The sequence below is a fragment of the Homo sapiens genome, chromosome 12, assembly GCF_000001405.40.
Source record: "Homo sapiens chromosome 12, GRCh38.p14 Primary Assembly".
Taxonomy (NCBI): Eukaryota; Metazoa; Chordata; class Mammalia; order Primates; family Hominidae; genus Homo; species Homo sapiens.
In genome coordinates, this window is record NC_000012.12 from 109,095,621 (window position 1) to 109,111,566 (window position 15,946).

Genomic DNA, 15,946 nt, shown 5'->3' on the forward strand with positions numbered 1-15,946 from the left:
GGAGACAGAAACACACAAGGAAAGAATAAATAATATGCTGTCTCTAAAGAAATTGTGTAAAAAGAAAAAATAAATAAGATGCTTTTGTATAGTATAGCAGTTATAGAGCAATGGGCTAGAAAGTGGGGCAGGAGGAGAAGTCCTTTTCAGGGAAAGATCCTGAGCTGAGACCTGAGGCTTTCCAGGCAAGGGGACGGTGAATGCAAGGGTGTGCAGGCCACAGGGGGACAAGCTGGGTGTGTCCAGCAATTGTGCTGGGAGCTGGACTCAGTAGTGGGGGCTTCCATCAGAGAGGAGGCAGCACTGAGACCTGGGTAGGAAGCTGGGGTTTATTCTAAGCCTTTTTGAAAACCAAAGAAGGGTTTTAACCTAAGGATTGTCTTTTTTTTCTTTTTCTTTTTTTTGTTTGTAGACAGGGTCTTGCTCTGTCACCCAGGCTGGAGTGCAGTGGCACAATCTCAGCTCACTGCAACCTCCGCCTCCCGGGTTCAAGTGATTCTCCTGCCTCAGCCTCCTGAGTAGCTGGGATTGCAAATGCATGCCACCACGCCTGGCTAATTTTTGTATTTTTAGTAGAGACGGGGTTTCACCATGTTTGCCAGGCTGGTCTCGAACTCCTGTGCTCAAGCGATACGCCCCTCCTTGGCCTCCCAAAGTGTTGGGATTACAGGCGTGAGCCACCGAGCTGGGCCAGGCCCCAGGTATTGTCATGATGTAAAAATCTCTCTCTAGAAAAGAGAACACCAGCTTCCCAGCTGGTCTTCTGTAGCTAGGAGATGCAAGAGCAGCAGTTGAATTTGAGGTTTGCTTTGGAGAAAGAACCAAAAGCAGATATGGATGGTTTGGATGTGAGGGAGGGAAAGAGAATCCTAAGTGTATTAGTAGTGGTGGGAGGAGGTTCGGTACAGTGGTGTCATTTGGAAGACAAATCGTTGGTGTTTAACCTCTATGACCCGAAAGTCTCCCACAAGCCTGATACATTAGGCAAAATGTTTGACTGCACTAAGCCTTAGTTTATCGTCATAAAATAGGCCATGAAAATTGCGTGAGAAAATGTATATAACAGTTCAACAAATAATATTGGCTGGGTGTGGTGGCTCATGCCTGTAATCCCAGCACTTTGGGAGGCCAAGGTGGGCAGATCGCCTGAGGTCAGGAGTTCGAGACCAGACTGGCCAACATGGTGAGATCCCCCATCTCTACTAAAAAAATACAAAACACACTTGGGCAAACATGGTGAAACCCCATTTCTACTAAAAATAGAAAAATTAGCCAGGCGTGGTGGCGCGCGCCTATAATCCTAGCTGAGGCACGAGAATCGCTTGAATCCGGGAGGCGGAGGTTGCAGTGGGCTGAGATCACACCACTGCATTCCAGCCTGGGCGACAGAGCAAGACTCTGTCTCAAAAACAAAATACACACACAAAATATAATAGTATTTGTTTGTTTGTTTGTTTTTGAGATGCCTCGGATTACAGTGCGGGGATTACAGACGTGAGCCATCAAGCCCGGACAATATTATTATATTGTTCATTGCACTCCCACAACACCCCTAAGGGGCAGGAACTTTTCTTCCCAGCCCCCTCCCCCCGACCCCACCGAGAGACAGGGTCTCGCTCTGTCGCCCAGGCCTGGAGTGCATTGGCGCGATCAAAGCTCACTACAGCTCAGACCCTCTGGCCTCAAGCGATCCTCCAGCCTGGGCCTCCCAAAGCGCTAGGATTACAGGCGTGGGCCACCGCGCCTGACCAGTCTTCTCTTCTTGCAGCTGAGCCTTAAGAGCCTGTCCAAAGAGCAGAGGTGGGCTGAAGGCACAAAGCGAATGAAAGAATAGGCCCCCGGGCACCGTTGCACGCCCCACCTCCTCCCAGGGGCGTTGCACTCCAGCCCCTCCCGCACATGCGCACTGGGCCTTCCACCGCCCCCCGCCCCCAGCAAAGCCCCCCGCTCGGAGCATGCGCGGGCCGCTTGGCGCCAATTGCTGACCGCCACAGCCACAGCCAGGGCTAGCCTCGCCGGTTCCCGGGTGGCGCGCGTTCGCTGCCTCCTCAGCTCCAGGATGATCGGCCAGAAGACGCTCTACTCCTTTTTCTCCCCCAGCCCCGCCAGGAAGCGACACGCCCCCAGCCCCGAGCCGGCCGTCCAGGGGACCGGCGTGGCTGGGGTGCCTGAGGAAAGCGGAGATGCGGCGGTGAGGCGCGGCTTGGGCCGGGGCTAGGGGGTGAAGGGGGAGGAAGGCGGTGGGCCCCGCCTGACGGAGGGCGTGCAGGATCGCGCCTCTGACTCGGTAAACCCGGGCTCCGCTTTCCAAATAGCCTCCACGTGTTCAAAATAGCCGCCGCTGTCCCCCATGGGCCGCCATGCTAAAGGGCCAGCCAATGGGAACGCGTCTCGGGGCCCATGGCGCCAATCCGCGCGCCGCAGGCCCTCCTGGCTCGGTGCGCTGTCCAATCAGAGGGGAGAGGGGGCGGGACCCAGAGGGAGGTTTTTTGCCGCGAAAAGACCACGTGGGGACGCGGTGGGGCGGGTCTGGCGGGGGCGGGGCACCTCTGTGCAGGGTTCCCAGTCACCGCGACGCTCCTCGGGAAGCCATAGGGCGCCTCCCAGCCCGTCTCCCCGCTCCAGTTTAGAACCTAATTCCCAATTCCCGGACCGGGCCCAGCCCTGGGCTCTTACTGTCCGCTTTTGCTGGGACCTGTTCCACAAATGGGCGTCTTCTGCCTTGGGCCGTGGGGGTTGGGCCGGAAGCTGCGGACGCCTGGGAAGGGGCCGCTGCAGCTCTTGAGCCGCCTCTGCGGGGACCACTTGCAGGCCATCCCAGCCAAGAAGGCCCCGGCTGGGCAGGAGGAGCCTGGGACGCCGCCCTCCTCGCCGCTGAGTGCCGAGCAGTTGGACCGGATCCAGAGGAACAAGGCCGCGGCCCTGCTCAGACTCGCGGCCCGCAACGTGCCCGTGGGCTTTGGAGAGAGCTGGAAGAAGCACCTCAGCGGGGAGTTCGGGAAACCGTATTTTATCAAGGTAAATATGGAAATGCACCTTCCATAAGGGTAAATGTGGAGGCTGCCGGCCCTTTTGTCTTGTTAGTGTAGCCGGCCAAGTTCATGTTTCCGTAGGCTTAGGTTGTACCCCCTTCAACCTCCTTTACTCACAAAGGGGGTAAAAGAAAGCCATGATGTTTCACTCTGCAGCTTTATATTGGTTAAAGTTGTTAACGACCCGCGAGATGATATCATGGATTCATTTAAGTCACATAGTCTATTGTCCAGGAAAGGCTGGCGTAGTAAAATCACCAACCATCCTGAATGAAACCTGGCTTGAGCTTTAAAAAGCCGAGAGGAGTGGCACTGTCAGGACCCAGCCCAGAGAAAGAGGCAAGGAATTGACCTGATTGAACCACTTAGGTGGGGGGGCAGGCACTGTTTTTGTTTGTTGTTTTTTAAAAGAATTTGGACATAACATGACAAAGAACTAATGATGTTCCAAATAACTTGCACTAGAAGCTTTCTTATTGAATTCTTATGGTTTCCAATGAGAATCTGATTTTAAGTCTAGTTTATCTTTAAATCAGCTAATGGGATTTGTTGCAGAAGAAAGAAAGCATTACACTGTTTATCCACCCCCACACCAAGTCTTCACCTGGACCCAGATGTGTGACATAAAAGATGTAAGTACAACTTGTTGATAATTTTTATTGGGGAGAAGGAGTCAAATAGTATTTTTAAATTAGGGACACTGGAGTTAAGCCACAGTCCATCATTCAGTAGTAAATAAAACACTGAAATCCCGAGGTTTGGCTGACTGTATTTCAGCCTGTATTTACTCTTTTTAATGTTTACCACGTGGTATTTATGTGGCAAAAAGGAAAACTATGTACATCCTGTGCTCTTATTTCTTGTATTTTTTTTAAATCCTGAAACTAACCTCCCGCGGTGTCAGATGTTATGGTGGTGGTGAAGTTCAAACTGACACACAAAGCAGTTAAATCTTTTGCAGCTTGTTATAGTCAACCCCACCTTGACCTGACCACACTGCCTTATAGTTAGCACTTTCAAGCTCTTGACTTCTGGCCTGAACAGTTTTGTGGTTCTGTTATCAGATCCCTTTGCTTTAGTTTGTCTTATATAACAGTTGCTGGTTGGCGGCTCTCATCCATCTTGTGTTCAGAAGTTCGTGGGGCTGGGCACGGTGGCTCATGCCTGTAATCCCAGCACTTTCGGAGGCCAAAGTGGGAGGATCATTTGAGGTCAGGAGTTCAAGACCAATGAAACCTGGTCTCTCCTAAAATACAAAAATTAGCCGGGCATGGTGGCGCACGCCTGTAATTCCAGCTACTTGGGAGGCTGAGGTGGGAGAATCGCATGAGCCCAGGAGGCGGAGGTTGCAGTGAGCTGAGATCACACCACTTCACTCCAGCGTGGGCGACAGAGCCAGACCCTGTCTCAAAACAAAAAAAAAACCGTGGCTTCTCACTGTTGAACTATGAAAGCAGAGCAACCCTCTTTAAATAGGGCCACGTCCTACCTCTCAGCCTTACCTCCACCTCCCACTCTCCCACTCCAGAGTTGGACAGTGTGGCAAACCCCTCCCCACTTCTGTCTCTTAAAAATCAAGTAGATGCCTCTGTGGCACCTCCTTGAATTGAAGTCCGTTGCCTGCCACCTCTGTGATCCAGTTTTCCTCTGAGCTGCTACGATGCATTTAGCACCTGCTGACACTGGACTTTTAGGTTTCTTACCCGTTTTCCTCCCCCGTTTTGTAAACTGGGGCAAGAATCTTGTGATTTAATGAATATCTGTGAAATGACATAGAAGTGAAATAGGTGAATAAATCATCTTGATAAGGCAGCCACACCTAATACTTAGAAAATCTCGTAAGCTTAATTTTAGAGTAAGAATTTAGAATCTAGCTCTTTGGTTTTGAAGCTAAATTAAATCCTATTAAGATCAATACTAATTTGCTTCTTGTTTGAATGCCCTATTCTGAATACCAGTAATCAGTATAAACAGGGAATATTAAAAGGAATATTTTGAGGGAATGCTCAAAAACCAGTTTCAAACCTATGAGGATCAGATGGGCCAGCAGGGCTTCTTGACAGACCAGCATTGGGAGAGTTGTTTCACAAGAGAATATGTTGGCATGGTGTGAACACCAAGGGGAGGGACAAGAGGTCCCCAAAAGCCTCCTGGTCATGGAACATCTGGAGCTGGATTCTGAAAGATAGAGTATGTCAGCTGTGGAGGAAGATTCTAAGAACGCAATGGCAGAAGCTTGAGAATGAAGACTAGGTGGGTGGGCCCTGGATGGGAAGGACGAGGCGGCCTATGTTTCAACACCTCCCGTGACAGGAACTTCATTTCATTTCATTGTCTCTTGCCACCTACTCCCATGGCCCTTTTGATCTGACCTCATTCTCTTCTGGCTCCACCTGTTAGAGGATATAGGGGAGCAGACACCCTCATATGCTGCTGGTGGGAAATCTGAATTGCTTTTTTTTTTTTTTTTTTTTTTTTTTTTTGAGATGGAGTGCAGTGGTGCAATCTCGGCTTACTGCAACCTCCACCCCCTGGGTTCAAGCGATTCTCCTGCCTCAGCCTCCCGAGTAGCTGGGACTACAGGTGTGCGCCACCACACCCAGCTAATTTTTGTATTTTTAGTAGAGATGGGGTTTCACCATGTTGGCCAGATGGTTTCGATATCTTGACCTCGTGATCTGCCTACCTCGGCCTCCCAAAGTGCTGGGATTACAGGCGTGAGCCACCATGCCAGGCCCTAAATTGCTTTAATTCATCGAAAAGTAACTGGGGGCTAGGCACAGTGGCTCATGCCTGTAATCCCAGCATTTTGGGAGGCCGAGGAGGGAGGATCCCTTGATCTCAGGAATTTGAGACCAGCCTCAGCAACATAAGGGAGGCCGTGTGTCTACAAAAAGTAAAAAAAAAATTAGGTGGGCATAGTGGTGCACTCCTGTGGGCCCAGCTACTCTGGAGGCTCAGGTGGGAGGACCACTTGAGCCCAGGAGGGCGAGGCTGCCATGAGCTGTGATGGCACCACTGCACATCAGCCTGAGCAACACAGCAAAACCGTGTCTCAAAAAATTAAAAAAGCAGCTAGGTACATATCTTTACAAGTTTAAAATACGCTTAGCCTTTGACCAGCAACTCTGCTATTAGCAATCTATGCCATAGAAGTGTTTTATTTGTTTTGTTTATGTTTGTTTGAGGCAGGGTCTGTGCTGCTTACATTACAGTATTGTTTAATTCCTGACCCCTGGTGGTTCACAGGTGAAGGTTGTCATCCTGGGACAGGATCCATATCATGGACCTAATCAAGCTCACGGGCTCTGCTTTAGTGTTCAAAGGCCTGTTCCGCCTCCGCCCAGGTACAGTTGCTTTACAGGTGACTGCAGTCCAGACATGATTCCTTTCAGATGTGTACTTAGCTTATTACAAGTGGGACTATCTGGGGCACTGTTCACTAGCCTTGGAGGAGGATTTCTCGGCCTCAGCACCATTGACATTTGGGGCTGAGTCATTCTTTGTTGTGGAGGAGGAGAGGAGTCCTGTGCTATTGCAGGATCTTGTGCCACATCCCTGGCCTCTACCACTGGAAACCAGGAGCAACCCCCAGCTCGTGATAATGAAAAATGTGCAGACATTGCCAAAAGTCCCTTGGGGGCGTAAAATCACCCCTGGTTAAGAACCACTGCTTTGGGCCGGGCGCGGTGACTCACGCCTGTAATCCCAGCACTTTGGGAGGCTGAGGCAGGAGAATCGCTGGATCCCGGGAGGCGGAGGTGGCAGTGAGCCGAGATCCTGCTACTGCACTCTAGCCTGGGTGACACAGCAAGACTGGAAAAAAAAAAAAAAGAACCACTGCTTTTGGAGGATTTGGTGTATGATATACATAAATATGCTAAGGACAGAAAACTGTCCCTGAGCAACAGTGGGGGTCTGGGTTGTAACTGCTGGGTTGATTTACTTAGGTTTTCCAGAGTGCTGTTAAATCCAAGTACAGACTAAAGTAAAGGTCTTTGGCAGAGTCACCTGTTAGAAGGAGGACTGGCAGTGTTGATCTCATTAATCGGCGCCATATGTGCCAGTGTCCCTTCCAAGGGCTGGCTGTAACTTCTAACCTTTTCACATATGTCTTAGACGTTACTGAGCTTTCAAAATTATGCTTAAGATTCTGTTTTTTGTTTTTCTTGTGGCTTGCTTTCAGTTTGGAGAACATTTATAAAGAGTTGTCTACAGACATAGAGGATTTTGTTCATCCTGGCCATGGAGATTTATCTGGGTGGGCCAAGCAAGGTAAGCCAGCGACTGCTAGATTTTTTTTTTTTTTTTTTTTTTGAGACCGAGTCTCACTCTGTTGCCCAGGCTAGAGTGCAGTGGTGCAATCTCAGCTTACTGCAACCTCTGCCTCCCAGGTTCAGGCGATTCTCATGCCTCAGCCTCCTGAGTAGCTGGGACCACAGGCATGAGCCACCATAGCTGGCTAATTTTTTAATGTATTTTTAGTAGAGACAGGGTTTCACCATGTTGGCCAGGCTGGTCTCGAACTCCTGACCTCAGGTGATCCGCCCGACTCGGCTTCCCAAAGTGCTGGGATTACAGGCATAAGCCACCACGCCCAGCCCCGACTCCATTGTTGATGGTAGTGGCTGCTGCCATTATGCCGGCTGCAGCAGGGAAGCACAGCTTGCTACACTGGATCCCATCAAGCATTGGTTTCATCATGGATTTAGCTCCTGTTGCTGGGTATTGGGCTGATTTGCCTGAGCCTACATTTAACCTGTTTCTCTCATGTGTATAGGTGTTCTCCTTCTCAACGCTGTCCTCACGGTTCGTGCCCATCAAGCCAACTCTCATAAGGAGCGAGGCTGGGAGCAGTTCACTGATGCAGTTGTGTCCTGGCTAAATCAGAACTCGAATGGCCTTGTTTTCTTGCTCTGGGGCTCTTATGCTCAGAAGAAGGGCAGTGCCATTGATAGGGTATGTTTTGTTTTCTTTCTTTTTTTTCTTTTTTTTTTAACACTATAAAAACAATGTAAAGAATTCTAGGAGTCCCTGCTGTGTTTGGTCCTGGAAAATCCATGTTATAAAATAACTTTTATTTTCCCTTAGGCCTGTTATAAGGGTTTCCCATTGAAAACTGAGAAGAATTTGGACAAATTATAGGGGTGATGAGTTGTGTATGAGGAAAGCAAAGCAACTGGCCAACTTGTGACTGAATGCAGTTGGTGCTGTAGGCATGAACTTGGTGTCTACAAGATACAAGTCCCTGGGTACCATTCACTTAACAAGTGATGGATGAGGCATGTTTCTGGCTTCCAAGAAATTTGGGAACATATAGAAAACACAAAGAATTCCACTCAATCACAAATTTAACTTGCCCATGAAAATACTATCAGTGATCATTATTGTTTTGTTTCTGGGTTTTTTGTTTTTTGATGGAGTCTCGCTCTGTTGCCCAGGCTGTAGTGCAGTGGTATGATTTTGGCTCACTGCAACCTCCGCCTGCTGGGTTTAAGTGATTCTGCCTCAGCCTCCCGAGTAGCTGGGACTACAGGCGCCCGCCACCACACCCGGCTGATTTTTTTTTATTTTTTAGTAGAGACAGGGTTTCACCATGTTGGCCAGGCTGGTTTTGAACTCCTGACCTCAAGCGATCTGTCCTCCTCAACCTCCAAAGTGCTAGGATTACAGGCATGAGCCACCACACCCGGCCTATCGGTGATCATTATTAACCCCAAGGTCTAATTGCAGATACCCAACACGACCAAACCAGTGGCTCCCCTCCCTACATCTTCCCCCTATCTGCTACCTCCCTCTTTCCCTTCACTCACTGAAGCACTTCTACACCTGGTTGTGGAAATCAGAGACCTAAAAGTCATCCTTGAATCCTCCATCCCATCAGTAAATCCCATCAACTCTGCCTCCCAAAACACCCCAGTCTACTGCTTCTCATTCGCCACTGCTGCCCTTCAGGCATGAGTCACCATCATCTTTCTCCAGGAGAACCGTGATGGACTAGAGATGGAGGCTTGATGGAGAGCCGCAGAGTGGAGGAGGGAGAGATAGGGGGTGGGAAGGAGACGAGCCAGGGGTGTGTTCATCCCTGGCAAATGGGAGAGACATTGGGTGGGGGAGAAATTATAGAGTAAATGCTTCAATGATCGAAGGCAAGGGCTTAGCAGAGGTAACCTGACAATAGTTTTTGGTGTATCAGCAGGAGGTAACGGGGGTATCAGAAATGTGCACGTATATTTAACCCCTACCTTGTGTGGGTACTAGGTTGAGCACTTTTGTTTTTTGAGATGGAGTCTTTCTGTCACCCAGGCTGGAGTGCAGTGGCATGATCTCGGCTCACTGCAACTTCGCCTCCTGGGTTCAAGCACTTCTCCTGCCTCAGCCTCCTGAGTAGCTAGGATTACAGTTGCCTGCCACCACACCCAGCTAATATTTTTTATTTTTAGTAGAGACTGGGTTTCACCATGTTGACAAGGCTGGTCTTGAACTCCTGACCTCAAGCGATCCTCCCATCTTGGTCTCCCAAAGTGCTAGGATTACAGATGTAAGCCACCGCACCCGACCAGGTTGAGTACTTTGCATGCAGAATCTTACTTAACTCTCAGAAAGGCTTTGAGGTAGGCATACACTTGTATGAGTGACCTAAGATCTGACTGGTATGAACTGCTAAGATGTGATCATCTAGGTATGTAAGAAGTGTGCGTGAGAGTAATTGCTAATCTCTATCCCTTAGGGAGGTTTACGGCCAGTGTTGCTCTTCCGCAGTATATTGGTAATCTTTAATCATGGTTTGGTCTGAAAGTAAACAGTTGTTAAAGTAGCTTGGTCATTAAAGCCAAATTGCATATCTCCAGCCCAGTGTCTCTTCTGATCTATAGAGTGCCTTGTTACTACTGCCCCATGAACATGCCAAATTCAACATTTTCCAAACGAAGTTTCTCCTTTTCTCATCCATGCTTCACTAAACTTCCTCCTCTGCACTCCCTAGCAGCAAAAAGCACCATCATCTGCCCAGTTGTCCAGCCAGATCTATTACTGACACCTGCCTACCTCTCTTTCTCCCCTCTTCTGTCCTTTTTTTCCACCTTCCCAGTCAGTCAGTCATTCATATCTGTGTTCTTTCTTCCCCCTCCAAATCTACCCCTGCCTGACCACCTTTGCCTTCATTCAGGCCCTCACCTGATCTTGCCTGGAGGGTTCTGATGCTTTCTCCCTGGAAGGCCTTGCCTTAGGCTGAAGATCTGATTTCAGGGGGGTAGAGGGGTGGCCCCCAATCGGCCTCCCAGACTTAACTCTATCCCTCTTTGCACTCCGATCCCTAGGCTGACCCATTCCCCTTTACTTTTTCACGGTGCCCCACTTCCCTGCCTTTGCATATCCTGCTTTCTCTGCCTACAGTGTAGAGGTCATTTTCTTCTGGGATTCTTTAGAGCTCTGCAGGGCTGACATTTACAGGGGCCTGTGCTGCTTGCGTGTGTGTTCAGCATTTGGTGTGCATGACTTCTTATCACACTCAGCCCCTGTGATCCTCATTTGATTGGTCACAGTAACTTCATAAGCTGGGCGGTATTGTTATTCCCAGTCTACAGATGAAAACTGAAGCAGCTTAGAGTTGCAGCAACTTCTCTGTGGTACAGCTACTGAGGGTAGAGGTAGGCCTCGACCCCGGGCAGTCTGGCTCCAGGCTCTGTACTCTTAACCACACTGGATTGCCTGGCTTTAGTCCTCACCCCTCATCGCCCCTCCTGGACTGAGCCCCTTGAAGGCAAGAGTGTTTTGAGAAACAGTGATTTGTTCGTTAGTTTTTATATACAGAAAAGAAGAGGAAAACAAAAATGGTCTATATCTCCCTGTTAAAATAACTATAGTTGATATTTTAAAAAAATCAAAGTAGTCATTTGCCACATAATGATGTTTCAGTCATAAACTGTATATATGACGATGGTCCCATAAGATTATAATATTCTGGCCGGGTGTGGTGGCTCATACCTGTTATCCCAGCACTTTGGGTGGCCGAGGCGAGTGGATTGTCTGAGCTCAGGAGTTTGAGACCAGCCTGGGCAACATAGTGAAACCCTGTCTCTACTAAAATACAAAAAATTAGCCAGGTGTGGCGGCGTGTGCCTGTAGTCCCAGCTACTTGGGAGGCAGAGGTTGCAGTTAGCTGAGATCATGCCACTGCACTCCAGCCTGGCAACAGAGTGAGACTCTATCTCAAAAAAAAAACATATATATATATACACATATATATATACGTATATATATATGTGTATATATATATATATAAAAAATATTTTTACTGCATCTTTTCTATGTTTAGATACACAAATGCCTACCATTGTGTCACAGTTGCCTATAGTATTTAGTACAGTAACATGCTACACAGGTTTGTAGACCAGGAGCAATAAGCTACACTATATAGCCTAGGTGTGTAGTGGTAGGTTATCCCATTTGGGTTTGTGTAAAGATGCCCTGTGGTGTACGGATAGCAGTGAAATTGCCTAACAACACACTTCTCAGAATGCATCCCTGTCATTAGGTGATGTATGACTATTGCTTTTTTTCTTTTGAAACAGGGTCTAGCTCTGTCACCCAGGCTGGAATGCACTGGCTTGATCTCAACTCACTGCGGCCTCAACCTCCCAGGCTCAAGCAATCCTCCCACCTTAGTCACCTGAGTAGCAGGGACCACAGGCGTGCGCCACCACACCTGGCTAATTTTTGTATTTTTTTTTGTGGAGACAGGGTTTCACCACGTTGCCCAGGCTGGCTCTTGAACTCCTGGACTTAAACGATCCTCCTGCCTCGGCCTCCCAAAGTGCTGGGATTACAGGCGTGAGCTACCACACCTGGCCACTGACTATTCCTCTTTTTTTTTTTTTTTTTTTTTTTTCTGAGACAGTTTCACTCTTGTTGCCCAGGCTGGAGTGCAATGGCGTGATCTCAGTTCACTGCAGCCTCCCCCTCCTGGGTTCAAGTGATTCTCCTGCCTCAGCCTCCTGAGTAGCTGGGATTACAGGCATGTACCACCACATCCAGCTAATTTTGTATTTTTAGTAGAGACGGAGTTTCTTCATGTTGGTCAGGCTGGTCTTGAACTCCTGACCTCAGGTGATCCACCTACCTCAGCCTCCCAAAGTGCTGGGATTACAGGTGTGAGCCACCACGCCCGGCCAACTATTCCATTTTTGTGGCGAGATTTTTTTGTTTTTGTTTTTGTTTTTTAATTCTTCCTTCTTAGGAGCTGTAAGACTATTCAGAGAGTTCAGAAAGGCACAAAATGGAAAGTAAATGGCTTCCACTCTTTCTCTTAAAGGAACTACTAAATACAGTGTCTTGGGTATTTTTCTAAAGTTTTTAAAAAATGAAATTATTTTGCATTTTGTTCACTTGGTAAATTTTGGAGGTCATCTCATCAGTATATTTATCTTTCGCATGTTTTTCTAGGAGTTATGTGGTTTTACATTGTAAGAACTTTAGAAAAATACATTTAGCCAGTTCTGTAACACTGAATTGTATACTAGGTTTTAGCTGACATAAGCAGTGTGTCAGTCCCTTTATATGTACCTATTTGTGTAGGTACAACTGGTCCCTGGCTTATGAAGTTTGACCTGATTTTTTTCGACTTTACAATGGTGTATAACCATACTTTGAGCACTCACACGTTGTTTTTTTTTCTTTCTTTAAGAGACAGGGTCTCTTGGCTGGGAGCAGTGGCTCACGCCTGTAATCCCAACACTTTGAGAGGCCAGGGTGGCGGATCACTTGAGCTCAGGGGTTTGAGAACAGCCTGGGCAACATAGTGAGACCTTGTCTCTAAAAAACACAAAAAATTAGCCTGGTGTAGTGGCACGCACCTGTGGTCCCAGGTACTCAGGAGGCTGAGGTGGGAGAGTAACTTGAGCCTAGGAGGTGGAGGCTACAGTGGGCCACAGTCATGCCACTACACTCTAGCCTGGGTGACAGAGTAAGACCCCATCTCAAAAAATAAAAAATTAAAAAAAAAGATCTTGCTCTGTCACCCAGGCTGGAGTGCAGTGGCACAATTATAGCTTTTTGCAGCCTCGAACTCCTGGGCTCAAGTGATCCTGCCACCTCAGTCTTCTGTGTAGCTAGGACTGCAGGTGCATGCCATCACACTTGGCTAACTTTTTAATTTTTTTGTAGAGATGGGGTCTCGCTATGTTGCCTCAGTTGGTTGTAAACTCTTGGTCCCATGCAGTTGTCCTACCTTGGCCTCCCAAAGCACTGGGATTACAGGTGTAAGCCACCGTGACTGGCCCCGTTCTATTTTTCACTTTCAGTACAGTGTTCAATGAGTTACATGAGGTACTAAACACTTCATTGTAAAAGAAGCTTTGTTTTGCCCAGCTGTAGGCTAATGTAGGTGTTCTGAGCATGTTTAAGGTAGGGTAGGTTAAGCTATGATGTTCAGCAGGTTATATGTCATAAATATATCTTCAACTTAGGATATTTTCTACTTAGGATGGGTTTTCCAAGATGTTAACCCCATCCATTGTGTTAATAAGTTGAGGAGTTTATCTGTGTGTGTATGCATCATGGTGTCCTTTAGCAAATACAGTCTTAGCAGTGGAAATTGCTGGCAGTATGATAGGGACACTTGAAAATTGCATAGATAATTGCCAACTTGAAGGCAGAGGGTGGTGCTCTTTGCATCTCAGAGCCTAGCAAAGGTAGGTAGTTGCTCAACAAACGGACTAATGTTCTAATGCAAATGCTGAATGCTCCACTTTGGAAGGGGGAGAATTTAGAGGGCAAAGGGGAATCGCACAGGGTCTTAAAGTGCAACAGCCACAGTCCTTCCTTTTTGGGGAAAAAAAAAAAAAGTCCCGGCCGGGCATGGTGGTTCACGCCTGTAATCCCAGCACTTTGGGGAGGCCAAGGCGAGCGGATCACGAGGTCAAGAGATCGAGACCATCCTGGCCAATATGATGAAACCCCATCTCTACTAAAAATACAAAAATTAGCTGGGTGTGGTGGCACGCGCCTGTAGTCCCAGCTACTTGGGAAGCTGAGGCAGGAGAATCGCTTGAACCCGGGAGGCGGAGGTTGCAGTGAGTCGAGATCACGCCACTGCAGCAAGACTCTGTCTCAAAAAAAAAAAAAAAAAATTTAAAAAGTCCCAAATCTGCCACCATTTATTCTTGATCTTTTTCAGAAGCGGCACCATGTACTACAGACGGCTCATCCCTCCCCTTTGTCAGTGTATAGAGGGTTCTTTGGATGTAGACACTTTTCAAAGACCAATGAGCTGCTGCAGAAGTCTGGCAAGAAGCCCATTGACTGGAAGGAGCTGTGATCATCAGCTGAGGGGTGGCCTTTGAGAAGCTGCTGTTAACGTATTTGCCAGTTACGAAGTTCCACTGAAAATTTTCCTATTAATTCTTAAGTACTCTGCATAAGGGGGAAAAGCTTCCAGAAAGCAGCCATGAACCAGGCTGTCCAGGAATGGCAGCTGTATCCAACCACAAACAACAAAGGCTACCCTTTGACCAAATGTCTTTCTCTGCAACATGGCTTCGGCCTAAAATATGCAGAAGACAGATGAGGTCAAATACTCAGTTGGCTCTCTTTATCTCCCTTGCCTTTATGGTGAAACAGGGGAGATGTGCACCTTTCAGGCACAGCCCTAGTTTGGCGCCTGCTGCTCCTTGGTTTTGCCTGGTTAGACTTTCAGTGACAGATGTTGGGGTGTTTTTGCTTAGAAAGGTCCCCTTGTCTCAGCCTTGCAGGGCAGGCATGCCAGTCTCTGCCAGTTCCACTGCCCCCTTGATCTTTGAAGGAGTCCTCAGGCCCCTCGCAGCATAAGGATGTTTTGCAACTTTCCAGAATCTGGCCCAGAAATTAGGGCTCAATTTCCTGATTGTAGTAGAGGTTAAGATTGCTGTGAGCTTTATCAGATAAGAGACCGAGAGAAGTAAGCTGGGTCTTGTTATTCCTTGGGTGTTGGTGGAATAAGCAGTGGAATTTGAACAAGGAAGAGGAGAAAAGGGAATTTTGTCTTTATGGGGTGGGGTGATTTTCTCCTAGGGTTATGTCCAGTTGGGGTTTTTAAGGCAGCACAGACTGCCAAGTACTGTTTTTTTTAACCGACTGAAATCACTTTGGGATATTTTTTCCTGCAACACTGGAAAGTTTTAGTTTTTTAAGAAGTACTCATGCAGATATATATATATATATTTTTCCCAGTCCTTTTTTTAAGAGACGGTCTTTATTGGGTCTGCACCTCCATCCTTGATCTTGTTAGCAATGCTGTTTTTGCTGTTAGTCGGGTTAGAGTTGGCTCTACGCGAGGTTTGTTAATAAAAGTTTGTTAAAAGTTTGTTTTGTGCAAGTGTCCTTTGTGCGTCCAGGCCAGGGCATCCATGGACGTCCTTGGGCTGCCCTTTCCCTTGGCGCCTCCCAGGGTTCCCATAGCAACCACCGTCTGCAGGAGGGGCCGCCCTTGCCCCTCCTCCCCGCCCTGCCGCTCAGTGGAACGGCCCAACCCTCCCCTGGCTGCGGTGAGCGCTGGGCCCAACCCCCGGCCTGGAGCAGCGCCCCAACTCCGAGCACCGTGGAGCACCGGCTGCCAGCTGAGACCCCAGAGGGGTAACTAACGGCCTGAGGAAGGCATTTCTTCGGGGAACATGGCGTGCCCGTCGTGGCTACGTTCTGCCAAGCCCTGTGACGTTGGAGGGGAGCCGCCTGCATCCCCCGCTCAGCCAGTGTTTCTAGACTCCGAGACATCTGGAACTCGGAAGTGAGGCCAGGGCTCCAGGAAGACTCCCTGATGACGCACTGGCCCGCAGCCCAGGCTCAGGTAGTGGGGGCTGTCAGGATGATCTGTGGGATCCCCCAGTGTCCGAAGAAAGAAGCCACAATTGTGTTTTTTTTTCTTTCTTTCTTTTTCTTTT

At 48.3% G+C, this 15,946-nt stretch overlaps 2 protein-coding genes across 5 annotated transcripts in view, besides 2 other annotated features; both read left to right on the plus strand.

Annotated features, from left to right (window-relative positions):
- UNG (uracil DNA glycosylase) lies at positions 1,977-15,372 on the plus strand. 2 transcript variants are annotated; one of them, NM_080911.3, is made up of 7 exons: positions 1,977-2,191; positions 2,812-3,018; positions 3,569-3,664; positions 6,282-6,379; positions 7,219-7,307; positions 7,813-7,991; positions 14,209-15,372. In NM_080911.3, the coding sequence occupies exons 1-7, from the start codon at positions 2,060-2,062 to the stop codon at positions 14,347-14,349; spliced, it is 942 nt and encodes a 313-aa protein (NP_550433.1). In that variant the 5' UTR covers positions 1,977-2,059; the 3' UTR covers positions 14,350-15,372. The 2 variants fall into 2 exon arrangements, with proteins under 2 accessions (NP_550433.1, NP_003353.1); NM_003362.4 differs by lacking the exon at positions 1,977-2,191 and having other exon boundaries at positions 2,552-3,018.
- Positions 2,156-2,545: a silencer, noted in NCBI's record as "silent region_4838". NCBI's record gives its function as "represses an Ori minimal core promoter by ATAC-STARR-seq in GM12878 lymphoblastoid cells {active_cell/tissue: GM12878}" and the evidence as "EXISTENCE:reporter gene assay evidence [ECO:0000049][PMID:35858748]".
- Positions 15,209-15,759: an enhancer, noted in NCBI's record as "H3K4me1 hESC enhancer chr12:109548634-109549184 (GRCh37/hg19 assembly coordinates)". NCBI's record gives its function as "activates a minimal SCP1, AML or CMV promoter by ChIP-STARR-seq in naive H9 embryonic stem cells {active_cell/tissue: H9 hESC(naive)}" and the evidence as "EXISTENCE:reporter gene assay evidence [ECO:0000049][PMID:30033119]".
- The window catches only part of ACACB (acetyl-CoA carboxylase beta), a 157,038-nt gene continuing 156,660 nt past the window's right edge, over positions 15,569-15,946 (plus strand). For all 3 annotated transcript variants that reach the window (XM_047428764.1, NM_001412734.1, NM_001412737.1), the window contains exon 1: positions 15,569-15,852. The gene's annotated coding sequence lies outside the window, so the exon portion shown is untranslated. The remainder of the gene's footprint in view (positions 15,853-15,946) is intronic.

Bases quoted from the DNA above. Each gene is read 5' to 3' on its own strand.
- UNG (NM_080911.3), top strand. From the start codon at position 2,060: ATGATCGGCCAGAAGACGCTCTACTCCTTTTTCTCCCCCAGCCCCGCC. The intron at 3,019-3,568 runs GTAAATATGGAA...TCTTTAAATCAG, and splicing joins GGAAACCGTATTTTATCAAG to CTAATGGGATTTGTTGCAGA. The intron at 6,380-7,218 runs GTACAGTTGCTT...GCTTGCTTTCAG, and splicing joins CCTGTTCCGCCTCCGCCCAG to TTTGGAGAACATTTATAAAG.